General features: G+C 46.4%; 1 protein-coding gene across 6 annotated transcripts in view, besides 3 other annotated features; it reads left to right on the top strand.

Moving 5' to 3' along the window:
* RBL1 (RB transcriptional corepressor like 1) overlaps positions 1-13,546 on the top strand; it is a 99,649-nt gene extending 86,103 nt beyond the window's left edge. For 4 of the 6 annotated variants that reach the window (NM_001323281.2, NM_002895.5, NM_001323282.2 and 1 more), the window contains 3 exons: positions 2,336-2,484; positions 6,029-6,193; positions 10,966-13,546. In NM_001323281.2, the coding sequence (NP_001310210.1) occupies positions 2,336-2,484; positions 6,029-6,193; positions 10,966-11,136 (485 nt within the window). In that variant the 3' untranslated portion in view covers positions 11,137-13,546. Of the gene's footprint in view, positions 1-2,335; positions 2,485-6,028; positions 6,322-10,965 lie in introns of those variants that run through there. The other 2 variants (XM_047440348.1, NM_183404.4) reach the window with 2 other exon arrangements.
* Positions 8,998-9,925: an enhancer, noted in NCBI's record as "H3K27ac-H3K4me1 hESC enhancer chr20:35628373-35629300 (GRCh37/hg19 assembly coordinates)". NCBI's record gives its function as "activates a minimal SCP1, AML or CMV promoter by ChIP-STARR-seq in primed H9 embryonic stem cells {active_cell/tissue: H9 hESC(primed)}" and the evidence as "EXISTENCE:reporter gene assay evidence [ECO:0000049][PMID:30033119]".
* Positions 19,266-19,765: an enhancer, noted in NCBI's record as "H3K4me1 hESC enhancer chr20:35618533-35619032 (GRCh37/hg19 assembly coordinates)". NCBI's record gives its function as "activates a minimal SCP1, AML or CMV promoter by ChIP-STARR-seq in naive H9 embryonic stem cells {active_cell/tissue: H9 hESC(naive)}" and the evidence as "EXISTENCE:reporter gene assay evidence [ECO:0000049][PMID:30033119]".
* Positions 19,766-20,267: an enhancer, noted in NCBI's record as "H3K4me1 hESC enhancer chr20:35618031-35618532 (GRCh37/hg19 assembly coordinates)". NCBI's record gives its function as "activates a minimal SCP1, AML or CMV promoter by ChIP-STARR-seq in naive H9 embryonic stem cells {active_cell/tissue: H9 hESC(naive)}" and the evidence as "EXISTENCE:reporter gene assay evidence [ECO:0000049][PMID:30033119]".

Raw genomic sequence — 24,163 nt, 5'->3', positions numbered from 1 at the left:
TGCCACCACACCTAGTTTTTAAATTTCTTTAATTTTTAAAAAAATTTTTATAGAGACAGGGTTTCACCACACCCAGCCTCCCACAATTTTAAATGTTTGGTTCATTCAAGTAAAGTATAGCTCCTTACCTTATGTTAGTATTAACAGCTGGAATTGGAATGACACAGAAATATAGAGACACTATAGTCTCTGTCTCAAGAAATTTCTAATCTAAGGAGGACATTAAATAATTTTAGACCAGGCGTGTTCGCTCATGTCTGTAATCCCAGCACTTTGAGAGGCCAAGGTGGGAGGATCACTTGAGCCCAGGAGTTAGAGACCAGCCTAGAAAACATAGGGAGACCCTGTCTCTACAAAAAGTAAAAAAAAATTAGCTCGGTGTGGCAGCGTGCACCTGTAGTCCCAGCTACTCGGGAGACTGAGGCAAGAGGATCAAGAACCTTTCATAAAAACAAAACAAAAAAATAATTTTAATTGATCCATATAATGAGAATAACCTAGAAGAGCTGTTAACAAGCCAGTATCCTTTGAAACAGTGTTTCCCAGAATGGTAGTATAAGTGTTTTGGGGGGTCCAGGCGCAGTGGCTCACGCCTGTAATCCCAGCACTTTGGGAGGCCAAGGCGGGCAGATCACCTGAGGTCAGGAGTTCGAGACCAGCCTTTCCAGCTGGCGAAACACCATCTCTACTGAAAATACAAAAATTAGCCAGACGTGGTGGCATGCTTCTGTAATCCCAGCTACCCAGGAGGCTGAGGCAGGAGAGTCGCTGGATCCCAGCGGGCAGAGACTGCAGTGAGCCGAGATTGCACCACTGCACTCCAGGCTGGGTGACAGAGCAAGACTCCGTCTCAAAAAAAAAAAAAGTGTTTTGGGGGAAGAGAGACTATACACAAAAAACTGGGGAAGTATGGAATTAAAGTGAACATGAGAGTTATTTTTTTTCCCCAACTGCAGTACTTCTCAGAGCCTTATACTAACATGAATTTCTGAATTTCCAATATAATATACAGCATTTCCTCAACTTTATTTAACCACATAGCTCCCCTCCCCTCCCACCCTCGTCAAGATCCTTTAGAAATAGCAGAAGTGAAAAAGACATCCAAATTAAGACTGACATCCCCTGGGGCTGTTTGGTTTTTGAACCATGTTTGTGTTTTCTGGTTTTCCTAAGGTGAAGGCATTGCTTCTACCCATGTTCTCAATGTTTGTAGGCCAGTGTATTGAGAATGAGAGCTTTTTTCATATATGTGCTAAATTCTTTTTAATTGGTAGTGGTTTTCTTAGCACATGGTTCTTGTGTATACAAGTAAATGATAGTTTGTAATACCCTGTAATACTCTTCCTTCCCCAAAAAATAGTAGGACAAAGTTCTGCCTGGTTTCACAAGCTATCCCAGAGTTGCACCATTAAGTAGGAAACTATGTTGGGGTAAGCTGTTATTTTACAATTGAGGGTGCTCAGTAAAACCTGAACACTGGTTCCTGATCAGGGTTCCTGTTGTATGTGGTACAATAAGGCTCTTAGAACACCTGTCACCTGCCATGTATTTGCAGAGAAATAAATGTAATTCATTTTGCTTCTTCCTTAACCTCTCAGGATATGCTTTACCTTTTAGAATCTTTCCACCTTTCTCAAAGACACAAGAAGAATATCTGCAGGCCTTTTAGTTGTCTGAAGCTGAGGTTTGCCACTGCCTCCCATACTGTAGAACTTAGCTAAACACCAGCCCAGGGCTGTTACCCCTCTAAGAGCCACTAGTGACAGTGAGCTCAACAGCTATGGTTGTGAAAACATTCTGAAGTGGAATCTAGAGAAAAGAGCACCACCTTCAGTTCATATGTTTGCATTTCTCTAGATTCCAATTTGACTTATAAGTAATACAGATGGATTGCTGAACCTTCTCTGAAAATATTAATTTCTCTACATAAAGATTTGTGGGTTTTTTTTAATATTGTAGAAAGGTCATTTAAATCACCAACTTGTATATTAAAGTATGCTTTGTGGCTGGGCATGGTGGCTCATGCCTGTAATCCCAGCACTTTGAGAGGCTGAGGCTGGTGGATCACTTGAGCCCAGGAGTTGGAAACCATCCTGGGCAACATGGCAAAACCCCGTCTCTACTAAAAATAAAAAATAGCCAGGCATGGTGGCACGTGCCTGTGGTCCCAGCTACTCAGGAGGCTGAGATGGGAGGATCACTTGAATCCAGGAGGTCAGGGCTGCAGTGAGCCAAGATTGCACCACTGCACTCCACCCTGGGTGACAAAGTGAGACCCTGTCTCAAAAAAATAAAAAGTATGCTTTGTATCACAACATTGCATTCTTTTTAACAGACTTAGAAGATGCTACAAAAACACCTGACTGTTCCAGTGGACCAGTGAAAGAGGAAAGAGGTGATCTTATAAAATTTTACAATACAATATATGTAGGAAGAGTGAAGTCATTTGCACTGAAATACGACTTGGCGAATCAGGACCATATGGTATGTTCTATGTTTTACTACTTTATTATTATTTGCTGTCATAGTTGGATTACTATAAGTTTATTTTGCTAGATAAATATGTCCAAGTAAAATTACTAGCAATTAATCAGAGCATGTCCAGTAACTTAATCAGTGATTAAGGCTATGGTACAACAGAGACCAGAGGAAATCATGGGATCTGTTGCCCAGGCTAGAGTGCAGTGGCGAGATCTGGGCTCACTGCAACCCTTGCTTCCAGGCCTCAAGCGATCCTCCCACCCCAGCCTCCCAAATAGCTGGTACGACAGCCACATGCCCCCACGCCTAGCTAATTTTTTTGTATTTTTAGTAGATACGGGGTTTCACCATGTTGGCCAGGCTGGTCTTGAACTCCTGGACTCAAGCAATCTACCCACCTCAGCCTCCTAAAGTGATGGGATCACAGGTGTGAACCACCACGCCTGGCATGAATTTTATCTATACCATGATTATGTTGCTAGAAATTCCGTATACATATGGGTAAGAACTTGATGGGAACATGAATATTAAAACAACTAATTTGTTTTTTTTGTTTTCTTTTTTTTTTTTTTTTTGAGACAGTCTCACCCTGTCACCCAGGCTGGCGTGCAGTGGTGCGATCTCAGCTCAACTGCAACCTCTGCCTCCCGGGCTCAAGTGATTCTCCTGCCTCAGCCTCCCTAGTAGCTAGGATTACAGGAGTGTGTCACCACACCTGGCTAATTTTTTGTATCTTTAGTAGAGACAGGGTTTCACCATGTTGGCCAGGCTGGTCTTGAACTCCTGACCTTGTGATCCGCCCACCTCGGCCTCCCAGAGTGCTGGGATTACAGGCATGAGCCACTGCACCCAGCAAATTTGGTAAATTTTTCTGTTGTTATATTGTGAGATTAATGTTTTTCTCAAGTCAAAGACAAAAGGGGCCAGGTGTGGTGGCTCATGCCTGTAATCTCAGCACTTTGGGAGGCCTAGGCGGGCGGATCACCAGAGGTCAGGAGTTTGAGACCAGCCTGGCCAACATGGTGAAATCCCATCTCTACCAAAAATTAGCTGGGCGTGGTGGCAGGCACCTGTAATCCCAGCTACTCGGGAGGCTGAGGCAGGAGAATCACTTGAACCCAGAAAGCGGAGGTTGCAGTGAGCAGAGATCGCGCCACTGCACTCCAGCCTGGGTGACAAGAGGGAAACTCTGTCTCAAAAAAAAAACAAAAGGAGGTCAGGTGCTGTGGCTCATGCCTGTAATCCCAGCACTTTGGGAAGCTAAGCCTGGAGGATTGCTTGAGCCCAGAAATTTGAGACCAGCCTAGAAACACAGGAAGACCCTGTCTCTTAAAAAAAAAAACTAAAAACTAGCCGTGTAGTGGCTGGTACACACCTTTAGTCCCAACTACTCAGCAAGCTAAGGTAGGTGGATCGCTTGGGCCCAGGAGGTCAAGGCTGCAATGAGCCACAATCGCACCACCACACTCCAGTCTGGGCAACAGAGCAAGACCCTGCCTCAAAAAAAAAAAAAAAAAAAGAAAGAAAAAAAAAAAAGAAAAGAAGGCCCTAGCAGAAGCTGCAGCCGGACAGCCAATAGCTGTTTCTATGTATCTATGTGCCTCTGTAGATTTCTGTTCTTCCTCTTTTCATGGAATATGGTCTATGACTATCCTCAGAGGTCATAACTGTTCATCCTGCTTCAGTTTCACTTCCCCTCTGTCATGTGCTATACTCGGAATATCTCTACCATCTTAATTTATTTCCATTATACAGGATATTAAAAATGAAATCCTTGCTCATCCAACTTATTTATAAATCTTTTCCATTTCCATATGAAGTCTTTCCCATTTCATTAACAGATTTTTTCCACGTTGGAATCATCCTGCTGGCTAATAGAATTCTCTGCCTCTTTTATTCTCTCTGCTACTGCTTTGGTTGTGAGCAGGTATGTGTGTAGAGAGAGCTTGTTACAGCAAGTGTTAGAAGATTGGTTACTCTTTGTCCCTACTTTTTTTTTTTTTTTTTGAGAAGGAGTCTCGCTCTGTTGCCCAGGCTGGAGTGCAAGTGGCACAATCTCAGCTCACTGCAACCTCTGCCTCCTGGGTTCAGGCAATTCTGTAACTCAGCCTCCTGAGTAGCTGGCATTACAGGCGCCTGTCACCACGCCCAGCTGATTTTCGTATTTTTAGTAGAGACAGAGTTTCACCATCTTGGCCAGGCTGGTCTTGAACTCCTGACCTCATGATCCACCCGCCTCAGCCTCCCAAAGTGTTGGGATTACAGGCATGAGCCACCGCGCCCAGCCTGTCCTTACTTTTTAAGCATGAATATGAGGTTCTCATGCTCGTGGCTTAACTCCTGGTGTCTTGTCCAGAATTTTTTTTTTCTTTTGAGACAGAGTCTCACTCTGTCACCCCAGGAGGAGTGCAGTGACATAATCGCAGCTCACTGCAGCCTCTGTCCCCGGGTTCAAACAACTGTCATGCTCAGCCTCCCGAGTGGCAGGGACTATAGGCGCACGCCACCACACCTGGCTAATTTTTATATTTTTAGGAGCTACTCAGGAGGCTGAAGTGGGGTTTCACCATGTTGGCCAGGCTGGTCTCCAATTCCTGGCCTCAAGTGATCCGAGCACCTTGGCCTCCCAAAGTGCTGGGATTATAGGAGTGAGCCACTGCACCCGGCCCCAGAATTCTTTTTTTTTTTTTTTTTTTTTTGAGGCAGAGTCTTGGTCTGTCACCCAGGATGGAGTGCAGTGGCACAATCTGGGCTCACTGCAACACCTCTGCCTCCTGGGTTCAAGCAATTCTAGTGCCTCAGCCTCCCAAATAGCTCGGATTACAGGCATATGCCACCACGCCCAGCTAATTTTTGCATTTTTAGTGGAGACGGAGTTTCACCATGTTGGCCAGGCTGGTCTCAAACTCCTGACCTCAGGTGATCCGCCCATCTCAGCCTCCCAAAGTGCTGGCATTACAGGTGTGAGCCACTGTGCCTGGCCAGAATTCTTAATACTAGTTATAGGACTTCCTGAAAGATCCAGGAAAATAGGCCGGGCATAGTGGCTCACACCTGTAATCCCAGCACTTTGGGAGGCCAAGGTGGGTGGATCACCTGAGGTCAGGAGTTCGAGACCAGCCTGGCCAACATGGTCATCTCTATTAAAAATACAAAATTAACCGGGCGTGGTGGCACATGCCTGTAATCCCAGCACATGCCTGTAATCCCAGCTACTTGGGAGGCTGAGGGAGGAGAATTGCTTGAACCTGGGAGGCAGAGGTTGCAGTGAGCCTAGATTGCGCCATCGCACTCCAGCCTGGGCAACAAGAGCAAGAGATACTCCATCTCAAAAAAAAAAAAAGATTCAGGAAAATAAATTCTAGTTTATCTATTGTTGTTAAAAAAAAAAAAGAAGAAGTAAAGGATCATTTTTTTTCTCAACCATAAATGAGCTTTTTACAGTATAACTGTTTTCTAACTAGAAGATACCATAAGAATAAAAATATGGGATTCAAAAACAAAGAAAAACTTTTATCTAAAAAATCTGACTTTTGGGTTATTTTAGATGGATGCTCCACCACTCTCTCCTTTTCCACATATTAAACAACAGCCAGGCTCACCACGCCGCATTTCCCAGCAGCACTCCATTTATATTTCCCCGCACAAGAATGGGTCAGGCCTTACACCAAGAAGCGCTCTGCTGTACAAGTTCAATGGCAGCCCTTCTAAGGTAAGGTGAATAGGCTAAAAGTTGGATTTCAGATTAACAGTCAGTAACTGTTAATCCTGCCTCTTTTTTTTTTTTTCTTTTTTGGCCAAGTTACTACTATACTAATAAAATATGAAATGTTAACTATGGCATGTCTCCTCTCATCAAGAGCAGTATATTCAGTTTGAGGTAGTTTAATCCATTATTATTGACATGGTATTTGTGGAGTTCACTTTGAAAGTCCAGCATGTTTTCCTGTTCAAGCAAGATCTTGAGAAGGGACCAGTAAGGCAACACCTGCAAGTGGTCAGACCTGGGGGATGTCAAGTTGAAAGAAAGGCATTGGAAGTGAAAGTGCATTTGGTAGATGGCACCCAGGATAGGAAGATGTCTGAAAACACAAGCCTCCTCTTACGTACATAGACAACTCTGTGATCATCTCCATCCTTATCCTTGTTCAGTGGTGAAGATGTGGTATGGACATGATTGCTGTTTTCAGAGACTTCATGGACTATCAAGCAGATATGTTCAGTATGTCTCCAGAAGTCAGAATCAGTATAAACTGGAAGAAATTGTAGTGGGGCAGATTGTAACTCTGTCCAAATACAGTGGCTCCTTCTTATTACTTTCCTATTCAGTTATACAGATAACTACAGAGTTCCTACTATACTTGACAAAGTTGGCTAAGATAATATACCTGACTGGACACAGTGACTCAAGCCTGTAATCCTAGCACTTTGGGAGGCCAAGGCGGGCAGATTGCCTGAGCTCAGGAGTTCAAGACCAGCCTGGGCAACATGGTGAAACCCCGTCTTTACTAAAAATACAAAAAATTAGCCAGGCATGGTGGTGCGCACCTATAATCTCAGCTACTCTGCTGTGGAGGCTGAGGCAGGAGAATCACTTGAACCCGGCAGGCGGAGGTTGCAGTGAGCCGAGATCACCCCTTTGCACTCCAGCCTGGGCGACAGAACGAGACTCTGTCTCAAAAAAAAAAAATGTTGAAAATCATTACTCTAAGGAAGAAGATCTCAAACTGTAGGGAGCTTTAAAATCATTGGGAGGGCTTGTTAAAACAGATTAGGGCCGGGCACGGTGGCTCATGCCTGTAATCCCAGCACTTTGGGAGGCCGAGGCAGGCAGATCACGAGATCAGGAGTTCAAGACCAGCCTGGCCAACATGGTGAAACCCCGTCTCTAAAAATACAAAAATTAGCCGGGCATGGTGGTGGGCACCTGTAATCCCAGCTACTTGGGAGGCTGAGGCAGGAGAATCGCTTGAACCCAGGAGGCAGAGGTTGCAGTGAGCCGAGATCGTGCCATTGCACTCCAGCCTGGGCGACAAGAGCAAGACTTAGTCTCAAAAAAAAAAAAAAAAAAAAAAAACAGATAAGGCTAGGCACGGTGGCTCACACCTGTAATTCTAGCATTTTGGGAGCCCAAGGTGGGGGAACACTTGAGGCCAGGAGTTCAAGACCAGCCTGGCCAACATGGCAAAACCCTGTCTCTACTAAAAAGACAAAAAAATAGCCAGGCATGGTGGCATGTGCCTGTAGTCCCAGCTAGGGAGGCTGAGGCAGGAGAATAGCTTGAGCCCAGGAGGCAGAGCTTGCAGTGAGCCAAGATCATGCCCTGCACTCCAGCCTGGGCAACAGAGAGAGACTGTCTCAAAAAATAAAAAATTCTAGATGCTTCTGCTGCTTCTGGTCTGGGTACTACACATCGAGAGCTACTGTTATACAGTAAATTCAGTTGTTTTGGTTTGGATTGGTTTGGTTTGTTTTTTTTTTTTTTTTTTTTTTTTATTGTTCTGCAACCTGCTATTTTAATTCAACTCTACCTCATGGACATCTTTTCACAGATTTAGACTCTTAGTTCACAGGGTAGGAAAGCACAAAGGCCATAGGACTCTTGCATAATGGGAAGCTTATTTTTCTTTTTTTTTTTTTTTCCATTTTTTTTCTTTTTTATTGATCATTCTTGGGTGTTTCTCGCAGAGGGGGATTTGGCAGGGTCACAGGACAATAGTGGAGGGAAGGTCAGCAGATAAGTGAACAAAGGTCTCTGGTTTTCCTAGGCAGAGGACCCTGCAGCCTTCCGCAGTGTTTGTGTCCCTGGGTACTTGAGATTAGGGAGTGGTGATGACTCTTAACGAGCATGCTGCCTTCAAGCATCTGTTTAACAAAGCACATCTTGCACCACCCTTAATCCATTCAACCCTGAGTGGACATAGCACATGTTTCAGAGAGCACAGGGTTGGGGGTAAGGTCACAGATCAACAGGATCCCAAGGCAGAAGAATTTTTCTTAGTACAGAACAAAATGAAAAGTCTCCCATGTCTACCTCTTTCTACACAGACATGGCAACCATCCGATTTCTCAATCTTTTCCCCACCTTTCCCCCCTTTCTATTCCACAAAACCGCCATTGTCATCATGGCCGGTTCTCAATGAGCTGTTGAGTACACCTCCCAGACGGGGTGGTGGCCGGGCAGAGGGGCTCCTCACTTCCCAGTAGGGGCGGCCGGGCAGGGGCGGCCGGGCAGAGGCGCCCCTCACCTCCCGGACGGGGCGGCTGGCCGGGCGGGGGGCTGACCCCCCCGCCTCCCTCCGGGACAGGGCGACTGGCCAGGCGGGGGGCTGACCTCCCCGCCTCCCTCCCGGATGGGGCGGCTGGCCGGGTGGGGGGCTGACCCCCCCCACCTCCCTCCCGGATGGGGCGGCTGGCCAGGCAGAGGGGCTCCTCTCTTCCCAGTAGGGGCGGCCGGGCAGAGGCGCCCCTCACCTCCCGGATGGGGCGGCTGGCCGGGCGGGGGGCTGACCCCCCCACCTCCCTCCTGGACGGGGCGGCTGGCCGGGCAGAGGGGCTCCTCACGTCCCAGTAGGGGCGGCCAGGCAGAGGCGCCCCTCACCTCCCGGACGGGGCGGCTGGCCGGGCGGGGGGCTGACCCCCCCGCCTCCCTCCTGGACGGGGCGGCTGGCCGGGCGGGGGGCTGACCTCCCCGCCTCCCTCCCGGACGGGGCGGCTGGCCGGGCAGAGGGGCTCCTCTCTTCCCAGTAGGGGCGGCCGGGCAGAGGCGCCCCTCACCTCCCGGATGTGGCGGCTGGCCGGGCCCGGGGCTGACCCCCCCACATCCTTCCTGGACGGGGCGGCTGGCCGGGCAGAGGGGCTCCTCACTTCCCAGTAGGGGCGGCCGGGCAGAGGCGCCCCTCACCTCCCGGACGGGGCGGCTGGCCGGGCGGGGGGGCTGACCCCCCCCACCTCCCTCCCGGACGGGCAGCTGGCTGGGCAGAGGGATGACCCCCCCACCTCCCTCCTGGATGGGGCGGCTGGCCGGGCGGGGGGCTAACCCCCCCACCTCCCTTCTGGACGGGGCGGCTGGCCGGGTGGGGGGCTGACCCCCACCTCCCTCCCAGACGGGGTGGCTGCCAGGCGAAGACGCTCCTCACTTCCCAGACGGAGTGGCTGCCGGGCGGAGGGGCTCCTCACTTCTCAGAGGGTGTGGCTGCTGGGCGGAGGGGCTCCTCACTTCTCAGACGGGGCGGTTGCCAGGCAGAGGGTCTCCTCACTTCTCAGACGGGGCGGCCGGGCAGAGACGCTCCTCACATCCCAGACGGGGCAGCAGGGCAGAGGCGCTCCCCACATTGCAGAAGATGGGCGGCCTGGCAGAGACGCTCCTCACTTCCTAGATGGGATGGCGGCCGGGCAGAGACACTCCTCACTTTCCAGACTGGGCAGCCAGGCAGAGAGGCTCCTCACATCCCAGACGATGGGCGGCCAGGCAGAGACGCTCCTCACTTCCCAGACGGGGTGGCGGCCGGGCAGAGTCTGCAATCTCGGCACTTTGCGGGGCCAAGGCAGGCAGCTGGGAAGTGGAGGTTGTAGCGAGCCGAGATCACGCCACTGCACTCCAGCCTGGGCACCATTGAGCACTGAGTAAACGCGACTCCGTCTGCCATCCCGGCACCTCGGGAGGCCGAGGCTGGCGGATCACTCGCGGTTAGGAGCTGGAGACCGGCCCGGCCAACACAGCGAAACCCCATCTCCACCAAAAAAATACGAAAACCAGTCAGGCGTGGCGGCGCGTGCCTGCAATCGCAGGCACTCGGCAGGCTGAGGCAGGAGAATCAGGCAGGGAGGTTGCAGTGAGCCGAGATGGCAGCAGTACAGTCCAGCTTTGGCTCGGCATCAGGGGGAGACCGTGGAAAGAGAGGGAGAGGGAGACCGTGGGGAGAGGGAGAGGGAGAGGAGGGAGAGGGAGAGGAGGGAGGGAGAGGAGGGAGAGGGAGAGGAGGGAGACGGGAAGCTTATTTTTCTATTCTTGGTTTGGTTTTTGAGACAAGGTCTCACTCTGTTTCCCAGGCATGATCACTGCTCACTGCAGCTTCAACCTCCCCAGGCTCAGGTGATGCTCCTTAACCTCCCGAGTAGCTGAGACTACAGGCACAAGCCACCACACCTGGCTAATTTTTGTATTTTTTGTAGAGACCAGGTTTGCCATGTTGCCCAGGCTGGTCTGAAACTCCTGGGCTCAAGTGATTGAACCATCTTGGCCTCCCAAAGTGCTGGTATTACAGGCCACCACACCTGGCCTTAAATCTAATTTTTAAACCACCTGAAAAGATTAGTTCAAGCCATCCCTTATTAGGTTGTTCTAAGTTTTAAAAAGAGTCCTTATCCCAGTGTTAAGATTTGGATAGAGGATAGAGCACAGGAAAAAACAATTAGCTTGGTTGTTTGCTGCCATTTCCCCTCTCCCTCTTTTACTCACACACGTTCTCTATTTCTGCACAGAGTTTGAAAGATATCAACAACATGATAAGGCAAGGTGAGCAGAGAACCAAGAAGCGAGTAATAGCCATCGATAGTGATGCAGAATCCCCTGCCAAACGCGTCTGTCAAGAAAATGATGACGTTTTACTGAAACGACTACAGGATGTTGTCAGTGAAAGAGCAAATCATTAATGTTGTTCTTGTTTCTATGATAAAAGCACTTTCAGATTGTTCTGCAGAAAGTTGGAGCTCTGTCCTTCAAACCTTTTAGCCCTATAGATGATAAATATCACTGGGTTATAAGAAAAAATTGCACAAAAATTATGTGCTTTTTAAAATATTTATCCAAAATGTAGTTGACAGAGATGTATTTTGAGTTGGATTGGAAAGGAATATTTTAAGTGCCTTTTAAAAATACTAATAGTCCGGCCAGGCGCTGTGGCTCACGCCTGTAATCCCAGGACTTTGGGAGGCCAAGGCGGGCAGATCACCGGAGGTCAGGAGTTCGAGACCAGCCTGACCAACATGGAGAAACCCCATCTCTACTAAAAATACAAAATTAGCCGGGTGTGGTGGCGCATGCCTGTAATCCCAGCTACTTGGGAGGCTGAGGCAGAATTGCTTGAACCCAGGAAGCGGAGGTTGTGGTGAGCCAAGGTTGCGCCACTGCACTCCAGCCTGGGCAACAAGAGTAAAACTCCATCTCAAAAAATATATATATATATATAAATAGGGAATTTTTTTTAATGTTTGCTCCTTGAGTTTTCAAGATGAAATAAGGAGAAACCCCATAACTTTTTAGCTCTCTTTTAAAAATAAATGTCTCCTTCTGTGTTCTGTAATATGAGGATAAATAATCTACTTTTGATAGCATGCTTTGAGATATTTGTATTCTTAATTTAATATTGAAGGAAGGGGTTGGTTCCCATAGTACCTGGCCAGAGGGTTATATACCATCCTGTCTCTGGCCCACTGTGGTAATTCCACATCCAGGTACCACCGCCATTCAGAGTTGTCTCACCCCTTCTCGTGCCTTTTCTCTCCTTGAGCTTTATAAACAGATTTGTACCTGAGCCCCAGTGCTACACTCATCCTTGCTTTCCAGCCCTAAGCCATCTCAGCCTGATGTCACAACCCAATAAATGGGGCACTTTCTTCTTTTGTAAACTATTATCATTTTGGTTTCTGTGACATTAACTTAATTATATATGATCGTATTAACTCATGTAGTTCTCAAAATAGGCAGCTGCTTCTGAAGCCAGTAAAATAAAATTCAGTTAGTTATTAAAAACTAAATTCCTATTAGTAAGGTAACACCATGATTATGTGTGATATACTGTTTTTGAGATCATAGTTATCAGTCATTCTCAATATCTAATTGAGTCCCTAAGAATATTTTAAACCTTTTAAAAATCACATAAATATCATCTCATGCCTCATAATTCTAATATATTTAATACATCAGTAAAATAGCTGCTTATTACTTCCCACACTTTGTTCTCAGTATTGTTAGTGCATCATGAGTTTCCTGCTAGTGTTTGACCACTGGGTACTCCTGAAGATGTTTTTTAGTACTAGGGATGCTTTTCAGTATTAGGGATGCTTTTTTCAGTACTAGGGATGTACTAGGGAGTACTGAGTACTCCTGAAGATGTTTTTCAGTACTAGGGATGCTTTTTTCAGTGTTAGGGATGCTTTTCAGTACTAGGGATGCTTTTTTCAGTGCTAGGGATGCTTTTCAGTACTAGGGATGCTTTCCAAAATATCACCTCTTTAACGTTTACTTTTTCTAGTGTGTGTCTGGAATCCAAAGGACATGAATAAGCCACTCATAATTAATTTTGAGAAGTTTTATCAAATGTTTATGTTTCTAACTGCAAACCTTAATTTTGGAAAGGCACAATGTTTAACTCACCTATGTTTAACCATGGCTAATTTAAAATAGTCTAAGATTTGGCCGTCACTAATTAGTATTCTCAAGAATTTCATTTTTCAATTTTAAGAAGAAAAGGGATTTTGGTCACATTTTGCTTGTAAATGAAAATTACATCCTCATTCTTTGTGTAGTATCTACACATTGTTATAAGCCAAAAAACAAAGTCTGTCTGGAATCTTTGTACATATTTGTATGTTGCTATAATTGTTATTTTTATCTTCATTATTGTGCAAAATATAAATGAGCATTTGTACATTGACTGTATAAGAAACCATGGGCCAGGTCCTGTGGCTCATGCCTATAATCCCAACACTTTGGGAGGCTGAGGCAGGAGGATTGCTTCAGTCCAGGAGTTCAAGACTAACCTGGGCAACATAGCCCTCATCTCTACAAAAAATAAAAAAATTAGTTGGGTGTGATGGCATGTGCCTGTAGTCCCAGCTACTCAGGAGACTGACATGAGAGGATCACTTGAGACTGGGAGATTCTGAGGCTGCAGTGAGCTGTGATTGCACCACTACACTCCATCCTAGGTGAGAGGGCAAGACCCTTTCTCAGAAAAGGAAAAAAAGAAATTCTGGACATGTTTTTATCAGTTTTCAGGACTTGGTATCAATGTACATAGAATGGCTAATAAAAATTGGAATTGAGATTATTGAAAAAAAACTCTTTTCTGTATGACTGGAAGCAGTTGCACAGCCATCTGAAATCTGTCTGTTTTAATATCTATGTCTCTAAAATTCCTTAGAATAACTTAAAAGTTAATGTTCCTGTGGTTTCCAGGGTCTAGGGGGAAAATGAAAAATAACTGCTTAATGGATACAGAGTTTTTTGGGGGGGGAGTGATGAAACTATTTTGGAACTTGATAGAGGTGGTGTAGTTGCATAACATTGTGAATTTACTAAATGCCACTGTATTGGACATTTAAAAATGGTTAATTTTGTGTTATGTAGATTTCACCTTAAATTTTTTTTTAAGTCTTGATTTCACCTTAAATTTTTTTTTAAGTCTTAGATACTATATTAGTCCATTTTCATACTGCTGATAAAGAAATATCCAACCGAGACTGGGAAGAAAAAGAGGTTTAATGGACTTACAGTTCCACGTGGCTGGGAGGCCTCACAACCATGGCAAAAGGCAAGGAGGAGCAAGTCATATCTTACATGGATGGTGGCAGGCAAAGAGAGCTTGTGCAGGGAAACTCCTGTTTTTTGTTTGTTTGTTTGTTTATTTGTTTGTTTTTGAGACAGAGTCTTGCACTGTCACCAGGCTGGAGTGCAGTGGTGGGATCTTGGCTCACTGCAACCTCTGCCTCCCGGGTTCAAGTGATTCTCCTGCCTCAGCCTCCCAGGTAGCTGGGACTACAGGCGTGTGCCACCACGCCCAGCTAATTTTTGTATTTTTGTAGAGATGGAGTTTCACCATGTTGGCCAGGATGGTCTCGATCTCTTGACCTCATGATCCACCTGCCTCAGCTTCCTAAAGTGCTGGGATTACAGGCATGAGCCACCATGCCCAGCGGAAACTCCCGTTTTTAAAAGAATCAGATCTCATGAGACACATTCACTATCAGGAGAAGAGCCCAGGAAAGACCTGACCCGATAATTCAATCACCTCCCACTGGGTTTCTCCCACAACATATGGGAATTGTGGGAGTTACAATTCACAATGAGATTTGGGTGGGGACACAGCCAAACCATATCATTCTGCCCCTGGCCCCTCCCAAATCTCACATCCTCAGATTTCAAAACCAATCATGCCTTCCTAACAGTCCCCTAAAGTCTTATTTCAGCATTAACTCAAACCTCCACAGTTCAACATCTCATCTGAGATAAGGCAAGTCACTTCCATCTATGAGCCTGTAAAATCAAAAGCAAGTAAGTTACTTCCTAGCTACAACAGGGGCATGGGCACTGGGTAAATACAGCCATTTCAAATGAGAAAAATTGGCCAAAACAAAGGGGCTACATGCCCCATGCAAGTCTGAAATTGAGTGGGGCAGTCAAATCTTAAAAGCTCCAAAATGACCTCTTTTGACTCCATGTTTTACATCCAGGTCATGCTAATGCAAGAGGTGGGTTCCCATGGTCTTGGGCAGCTCCACCCCTGTGGCTTTACCTCCCAGCTTCCCTCCCGGCTGCTTTCACAGGATGGTGTTGAGTGTCTGCGATTTTTCCAGGCACACAGTGCAAGCTATCAGTGGATCTATCATTCTGGGGTCTGGAGGACAGTGGCCCTCTTCTCTCAGCTCCACTAGGCAGTGCCCCAGTAGCGACTCTTTGTGGGGACTCCAACCCCACATCTCTTTTCCACACTGCCCTAGCAGAGGTTCTCCATGAGAGCCCTGTCCCTGCAACAAACTTCTGCCTGGATATCCAGGCATTTTCATGCATCCTCTGAAATCTAGGCAGAGGTTCCCAAACCTCAATTTTGACTTCTGTGCACACCATGTGAAAGCTGCCAAGGCTTGAGGCGTACATGCTCTGAAGCCATGGCCCAAGCTCTACATTGACCCCTTCAGTCACGGCTGGAGCAGCTAGGACGTAGGGCACCAAGTTCCCAGGCTGCAACCAGCAAGGGGATTCTGGGCCCAGCCCACAAAACCACTTTTTCCTCTTAAACCTCCAGGCCTGTGAATGTCGGGGGGATGTGATGAAGACCTCTGACATGCCCTGAAGACATTTTCCCCATTGTCTTGGTGATTAACATTCAGCTCCTCATTGCTTATGCAAATTTCTGCAGCCAGCTTGAATTTCTCCTCAGAAAATGGGATTTTCTTTGTTTGTTTGTTTTTTGTTTTGAGATGGAGTTTTGCTCTTGTTGCCCAGGCTGGAGTACAGTGGCGCAAACTCAGCTCACCACAACCTCCACCTCCCAGGTTCAAGTGATTCTCCTGCCTCAGCCTCCCAAGTGGCTGGGACTAGAGGCATGCACCACCAAGCCCGGCTAATTTTCTATTTTTAGTAGAGATGGGGTTTCTCCATTTTGGTCAGGCTGGTCTTGAACTCCCAACCTCAGGTAATCCACCTGCCTTGGCTTCCCAAAGTGCTGGGATTACAGGCGTGAGCCACCATGCCCAGCCAGGATTTTCATTTCTATCACATTGTCAGTCTGCAAATTTTCTGAACTTTTATGCTCTGCTTCCCTTATAAAACTGAATGCCAACCGGGCACAGTGGCTCACACCTGTTATCTCAGCACTTTGGGAGGCCAAGGTGGGCAGATCACAAGGTCAGGAGATCGAGACCATCCTGGCCAACATGATGAAACCCTGTCTCCACTAAAAAATACAAAAATTAGCTGGGTGTGGTGGTGCACTCATGTAATCCCAGCTACTCAGAAGGCTGAGGCAGGAGAAATGCTTGAACCCGGGAGGCAGAGGTTGCAGTGAGCTGAGATCGTGCCACTGCACTCCAGCTAGCGACAGAGCAAGACTCCATCTCAAAAAATAAAAATAAAAATAACAATGCCTTTAACAGCACCCAAGTCACCTCTTGAATGCTTTGCTGCTTAGAAATTTCTTCCACCAGATACCTTAAATCATCTCTCTGAAGTTCAAAGTTCCACAGATCTCTAGGGCAGGGGCAAAATGCCACCAGTAGATCTGCTAAAACATAACAAGAGTCACCTTTGCTCCAGTTCACAACAAGTTTCTTATCTCCATCTAAGAGCACTTCATGCTGAATTTCATTGTCCATATTATTATCAGCATTTTGATCAAAGCCATTCAGCAAGTTTCTAGGAAATTCAAAACTGTCCCACATTTTCCTGTCTTCTTCTGACCCTCCAAATTGTTCCAACCTCTGCCTATTTCCCAGTTCCAAAGTCACTTCCACATATTCAGGTATCTTTTCAGCAGCACCCCACTTCTGGTACCAAAATTACTGTATTAGTCTATTTTCATGCTGCTGATAAAGACATACCCAAGACGAAAGTAAAAAAGGTTTAACGGACTTACAGTTTCACCTGGCTGGGGAGGCCTCACAATCATGGTGAAAGGCAAGGAGCAAGTCACATCTTACATGGGTGGCAGCAGGCAGAGAGAGAGTTTGTGCAGGGAAACTCCCATTTTTAAAACCATCAGATTTCTTGAGATGTATTCACTATCATGAGAACAGCCCAGGAAAGACTTGCCCCCGTAATTCAATCACCTGCCACCAGGTTCCTCCCACGACACATGGGAATTGTGGGAGTTACAATTCAAAATGAGTTTTGAATGGGGACACAGCCAAGCCATATCAGATACATATGAAGAAACAGGATTATTTCAAGGCCTTGGAATGAACATGTGAACTACGTTATAGTTAATTAAGGAAATGGCTCATTACTCTCTTTGGAGTGCTTTCAAGGTGTATTTCTCCACATGAGACCTACAGCTTAAAAATTCTTTTTTTTTTTTTTTCTTGAGAGGGCGTCTCGCACTTGTTGCCCAGGCTGGAGTGTAATGGTGTGATCTCGGCTCACTGCAACCTCTGCCTCCTGGGTTCAAGCAATTCTGCCTCAGCCTCCTCAGTAGCGGGGATTACAGGCTCCCACCACCACGCCCAGCTAATTTTTTGTATTTTTATTAGTAGAGACAGGGTTTCACCATGTTGGCCAAGCTGGTCTCAAACCTGCCTTGGCCTCCCAAAGTGCTGGGATTACAGGCATGAGCCACAAACCTGGCCTTAAAAATTCTTTCCTAATTAAGATCTTAATGTGGGCCAAGTGTGGTGACTCATGCCTCTAATCCCAGCACTTTGGGAGGCCAAGGCAGAAGGATCACTTGAGGCCAAGAGTTGAAGACCATCCTAAGAAACATAGTGAGACACCTGTCTCTACAAACAAAAAAAAAAAAAGTGTGGTTAGATGATTAGATTATATTCAGATTTTTTATAAAAAGGGTAATGTTCCTGCTTGTTTTAATTTTGTTCCTTGTGAGTGCTTTCACTAAGCCAAAAAGCATTTATTGGCTGCCTACTCTGTTCCTACCCTCGGCTAGGTGCAAGGGATATAAAGATGAACCAGACATAGTACCTGTACTCAAGATATAATATTGCTAGCCCCTCATATGATAAGTATAGTAATACAGCTCTGTGCCAAGAGGGGTAGTTTAGCACAAAGAAGGAAGTGTTTTACTCTACCTCAGCACATGTGCCAGAGGAACCTCTAAAAGGAGAGTCTTGCTCTATTGCCCAGGCTGGAGTGCAGTAGCACAATCTTGGCTGACTACAACCTCCACCTCCCGGGTTCAAGCAATTGTCCTGCCTCTGCCTCCTGAGTAGCTGGGATTACAGGCACCTGCCATCATGCCCGGCTAACTTTTGTATTTTTAAGTAGAGACGGGTTTCACCATGTTGGTCAGGCTGGTCTTGAACTCCTGACCTCAAGTGATCCGCCTGCCTCTGCCTCCCCAAGTGCTGGGATTACAGACATGAGCCACTGTGCTCAGCCAGTAGTTTCATCCTTGTGGGAAAATAACTGTTTGCCAGGACAGTAAAAGTATTCAAGACAAAGTGAGAATAAACTGTGGAAAGACCTAGATGTGTGAAAGTACCATAGGTTTGGGAATTACAGGTAATTTAATGTTTTAAATCCTTAGATGACCCTATTTGAAGATAATCTGGCAAAGCTGGACTGTAGCGTGCATATGCACAAGTGTCATAGAAAATGGGGCTATTTCGGCAGGCAGGAGGCTTTCATGGTTGGGTTTTCAACACCAGGTTAAACAGCTCAGGCTTGATTATTTCTGGTGGTTCTCAACATTGGCTGCACCTGGGGAAATTTTCTTTTTTTTTTTTTTTTTTTTTTTAAGATGGACTCTCACTGTTACCCAGGCTGGAGTGCAGTGGTGTCATCTGCAACCTCCACCTCCTGGGTTCAAGCAATCCACCAGCCTCAGCCTCCCAAGTAGCTGGAACTACAGGCGTGTGCTACCTATTCAGGAGACTGAGGCAGGAGAATAGCTTGAACCCAGAAGGCGGAGGTTGCAGTGACCCAAGATTGAGCCACTGCACTCCAGCCTGGGTGACAAGACTGAGACTCCGTATCAAAAAAAAAAAAAAAAACCCTGAAACTGGGTAATTTACCAGAAAGGAGGTTTCAGCCAGGCACGGTGGCTCACACCTATAATCCCAACATTTTGGGAGGCCGAGGCAGGTGGATCACTTGAGGTCAGGAGTTCGAGACCAGCCTGGCCAACATGGTGAAACCCTGTCTCTATTAAAAATACAAAAATTAGCCGACCGTGGTGGTGGACGCCTGTGTCAAGTGAGTCCGTGTGAAGAGACGACCAAACAGGCTTTGTGTGAGCAATAAAGCTGTTTATTCACTTGGGTGCAAGTGGGCTGAGTCCGAAAAGAGAGTCAGCGAAGGGAGATAGGGAATGGGTTGCTTTATAGGAGTTGGGTAGGTAATGGAAAATTATAGCAAAAGGTGGTTATCTATTGTTAGCAGAGGAGGGGTTTACAAGGTGCATGGTGGAGAGATCATAAGACTCATTGTCCAGAAGAAGAATGTCACAAAGTTGATTGATCAGCTAAGGTAGGGCAGGGACAAGTCACAATAATAAAATATTGTAATGTTAGTTAATCAGTTAAGGCAGGAACTCGCTGTTTTACTTCTTTGTAGTTTTTTTCTTTTGCTGCTCCAGACTTCTTGGCTCCTGCAGGCCACCTAGATGTGTATGTGCAGGTCACAGGGGTTATAATGGCTGAGCTTCAGCTCAGAGGCCTGACAGCCTGTTATCCAGGCTATTCGGGAGGGAGGCCGAGGCAGGAGAATTACTTGAACTTGGGAGGCGGAGGTTGCAGTGAGCCAAGATCATGCCATTGCACTCCAGCCTGGGCGACAGAGTGAGACTCCGTCTCAAAAAGCAACAACAACAACAACAAAACAGAAAGGTTTCATTGGTTCATTGTTCCACAGGTTGTACTGGAAGCATGGCTGGGGAGGCAAGGCGCAGGGCAGCAGGACCCTGGGCCTGGCTTGCAAAACCATTCTTCCCTCCTAGGCCTCTGCCCCCACTTTTCTGGGTGGGGCTGCTGCAAAGTTCTCTGAAATGCCTTTGAGACCTTTTCCTCATTGTCTTAGCTATTAGCACTTGGCTCCTCTTTACTTCTGCAAATTTCTATAGCTAGCTTGAATTCCCGTCCTGAAAATGGGTTTTGTTTTTTGTTGTTTTTTTTTTTCTTTCGAGACGGAGTTTCCCTCTTGTTGCCCAGGCTGGAGTGCAATGGCGTGATCTTGGCTCACTGCAACCTCCGCCCTCCAGGTTCAAGCGATTCTCCTGCCTCACCCTCCCAAGTAGGTGGGACTATAGGCATGTGCCAACATGTCCGGCTAATTTTTGTATTTTTAGTTTTACCACATTGTCCAGGCTGGTCTCTAACTCCTGACCTCAAGTAATCCACCCGCCTCGGCCTCCCAAGGGTTTTTCTTTTCTACCACATGGCCAGGCTGCAAATTTTCCACACTTTCATGCTCTGCTTGCCTTTTAAATATAAGTTCCAGTTGTAGATCAACTCTTTATTCACGCGTATAAGCATACACTATTAGAAGCAGCCAGACCACATCTCTAATGCTTTGCTGCCTAGAAATTTCTTCCACCAGATACCCTATATCATCTCTCTCAAGTTCAAAGCTCCACAGATCTCTAGGGCACTGGATCAAAGCTCCAGTGTCTTTGCTAAAGCATAGCAAGAGTGACCTTTACTCCAGTTCCCAATAAGTTCCTCATCTCCATCTGAGACCACCTCAGCCTGGACTTCATTGTCCAGATCACTTTCAGCATTTAGGTCACAATTTAACAAGTCTCTAGGAAGTTCCAAACTTCCTCTCAACTTTCTGTCTTCTTCCGAGCCCTCCAAACCATTCCAACCTCTGCCCATTACCCAATTCCAAAGCTGCTTCCATATATTCAGGTATCTTTACAGCAATGCCCCTACTTTCCAGTACCAATTTTCTGTATTAGTTTGTTCTCTCACGGCTATAAATAAATACCTGAAACTGGGTAATTTATAAGAAAAGAGGTTTAATTGGCTTACAGTTCTGTGGGCTGTACAGGAAGCTGGCTGGAGAGGCCTTAGGAAACTTACAATCATTGGCGGAAGGTGAAAAGGAAGGAGGCACATCTTATGTGGCCGGAGCAGGAGGAAGAGAGAGCAGGGGGAGGGGCTACACACTTTTAAACTACCAGATCTTGTGAGAAATCACTATCACGAGAACAGAAAGAGGGAAATATGCCTCCATGATCCAATCACCTTCCACCAGGCCCCTCTGTAAGGAAAATGGCTGTGCTTCAGTCAGGAGTGGGCTGAGGCAGACATCCAGTACAGCATGACAGCAGGTTGGGACCACAGGTGCACAATTGCATGCAGTATGTAATCACATTTATGTAGCCATTTTGATGTATCCTGTTTGTGTGAGCTCATACCTGGCTTTGAGCCACTATTGTCTGTGAAAATATAACTGCTCTGCTGACTCTGTAGGAGAGAGAGAGATAATAAGGCCATGTCCCAACTGCCTATACTCCCTAGAGTGTTTTTTCAGCTACCCGCCACCCATCCACCAACTCCTCTTGGACCCCAGCTCAGATTGGAAACTGACACCCTCTTCCAACACTGGGGATTACAGTTTGACATGAGATTTGGGTAGGGACACAAATCTAAACCACATCAGGGAGCCACTGAAGAGGTTTTAATTTTAAATAGATCTACAATGACAAAATTTGATGTTTATTTTAGAGTTGCAGTTTCCTAATGAGCAAGGACAGGATTATCTGAGAGACGTGTTAACAATACTGATTCCTAGGCTCCACCCTTGACCAGTGAAATCATAATCTCCAGGGGAATTGTTACTGAAACACCAGGAGTTCTATCTTGGTCTTGTTGCTGGCTGCATAGAAAGCCAATCACTGCTGGGCACAAAATGGCTCACGCCTGTAATCCCAGCACTTTCAGAGGCCAAGGCAGGCAGATCACCTGAGGTCAGGAGTTTGAGACCAGCCTGACCAATATGATGAAACTCCATCTCTACTAAAATGCGAAAATTAGCCAGGCGTGGTGGCATGCACCTGTAATCCCAGCTACTCGGGAGGCTGAGACAAGAGAATCACTTGAACCCGGGAGGCGGAGGTTGCAGTGAGCCAAGATCTCACCATTGCACTCCAGCCTGGGCAACAAAAGCAAAATTCTGTCTCAAAAAAAAAAAAAAAAAGAAAAGAAAAGAAAGCCCATCACTGAGACAAGTATTGCCAGGGAAGAGGGTTTTAATCATGCTGCAGTTGAGGAGATGGCAGATTAGTCTCAAATCCATCTCCCTAAGCAATTAAATTCAGGCATTTATATAGCAAGGAAGAAATGTAACTTCATACAGAAAAATAGGAATTAAGGTGGGGTAAGGAAGAGGAGCTGGTCAAACAGGTATTGGATAGAGAATCATGATGGGTGAAGGGTCTGGCACCTCACTGTCCTCATGCAGTGATCCTGGTGAGTTTAAGTTCCTAGATACTGTCTGGGAGCCCTGCTGGTTGGTTTCCTGAGAAAGGAACTCAGACAAAACAAATGTAATTTTCTTAAGTTTTAAGACTGAGTCAATTTTGTTTTATTCAAAAGAAACCATAAACATCAGTCCTATGAAACAATTGACATCAGTTCTATGGGACAATTGGACCAGTTTCAGTCCCCTCTCCCAACTTTCTATCAATTCCTCAATCATGGGGAATCTGGTCATTGATTGATTTTTTTTTTTTTTTTTTTTTTTTTTTTGAGATGGAGTCTGACTCTGTCACCCAGCCTGGAGTGCAGTGGTGCAATCTCAGCTCACTGCAACCTCCATCTCCCAGGTTCAAGCGATTCCCCCGCTTCAGCCTCCTGATTACCTGGGATTACAGACACACACTACCACGCCCAGCTAATTTTTATATTTTTTAGTAGAAACAGGGTTTCACCGTGTTGGCCAGGCTGGTCTCTAACTTCCGGCCACAGGTGATCCACCTGCCTTGGCCTCCCAAAGTGCTGGGATTACAGGCATGAGTCACCGCACCCGGCCCACTTTTGCTGTTTTTTGGTCCATGTCTTCGTGGACCAAAATCTCAAGGAGGCTTCTGTGATTCCAGCAAGGGTGGCTTTGCGGGTTGGTGAAAGTCGTATCTAGCCAGGTCCAAGCGAGATGGGCAGGATTTCGCCTCTGGCGTGTCTCACTGATGGGTCGTCTAGGGGTGCTCTGTAGAAAGGTGACTCTTGAATATTGAGAGGAAAGTATCCCTCACTGAGGGTCATCTGGAGCTTGATGTCCAGAAGGTGACAGGAAACAAATTGGGTTATCAGATTTAGAAGACATGGACCAAAAAGAAGCAAAAGTAGGAGACTAACAAGTGGGCCTAAAAGAAGACAACCCAGGAGAACCATTTCCATGTTCCCTCCTAATCTAACCAACCCTGAGAGGCTTGTTCCTTGTTCCCATACATAGGAGACTCAATTTACGAGTTGTCTGATGTTGTCGTATACTTTTCCCAATTGATTTAACCAAAAGCAACATTTTTCATCTAAGGCTAAACAAATTCTTCCCTGTGCTGCCATTAACGTATGTACTCCTTGGCGATTTGGGAGGACTATGGCTGCTGACGAGTCAATTTGTTCTTGCACAGCTATTAAGGTTTTAGTTGTGGCATCAATGTTGTTGGCTATGTCTGTTGAGAGCTGGTCAAGGAGGCTTCTGTGACTCTGGCAATTCTGGTTCCCATACTGGATATAATGCCACATCTAGCAAGAAGTGGAATTAATTGGATAGCCCTCTTCACCCTGGGCAAGATGAAATGCTTGGGCCGGGCACAGTGGCTCACGCCTGTAATCCCAGCACTTTGGGAGGCTGAGGTGGGTGGATCACCTGAGGTCAGGAGTTCGAGACCAGCCTGGCCAACATGGTGAAACTCTGTCTCTACTATAAATACAAAAATTAGCCGGGTGCATGCCTGTAATCCCAGCTACTAGGGTGACTGAGGCAGGAGGATCGCTTGAACCTGGGAGGCCGAGGTTGCAATGAGCCAAGATCGTGCCATTGCACTCTAGCCTGGGCAACAGAGCGAGACTCCATCTCAAAAAAAAAAAAAAAAATAGAATGTCCATAGATCCATTAATTGGTACTGAAGAGAGAGATTGCCAGGAGCTCTGAAGATGTCTGGAGATACACAGCCTATGGTACACATTCCAGTCCAGTTAATGCAGAGGCATTGGTGAAATAACTGGCCACAAATGTAGAAGGCTCCTCGGGTCTTAAGTAGAGATGTCAAAAAGAAACAAAGGG

This window comes from Homo sapiens, chromosome 20 (assembly GCF_000001405.40).
Source record: "Homo sapiens chromosome 20, GRCh38.p14 Primary Assembly".
In the NCBI taxonomy this organism is placed as follows: Eukaryota; Metazoa; Chordata; class Mammalia; order Primates; family Hominidae; genus Homo; species Homo sapiens.
This window is presented reverse-complemented; position numbering and strand designations above follow the sequence as displayed.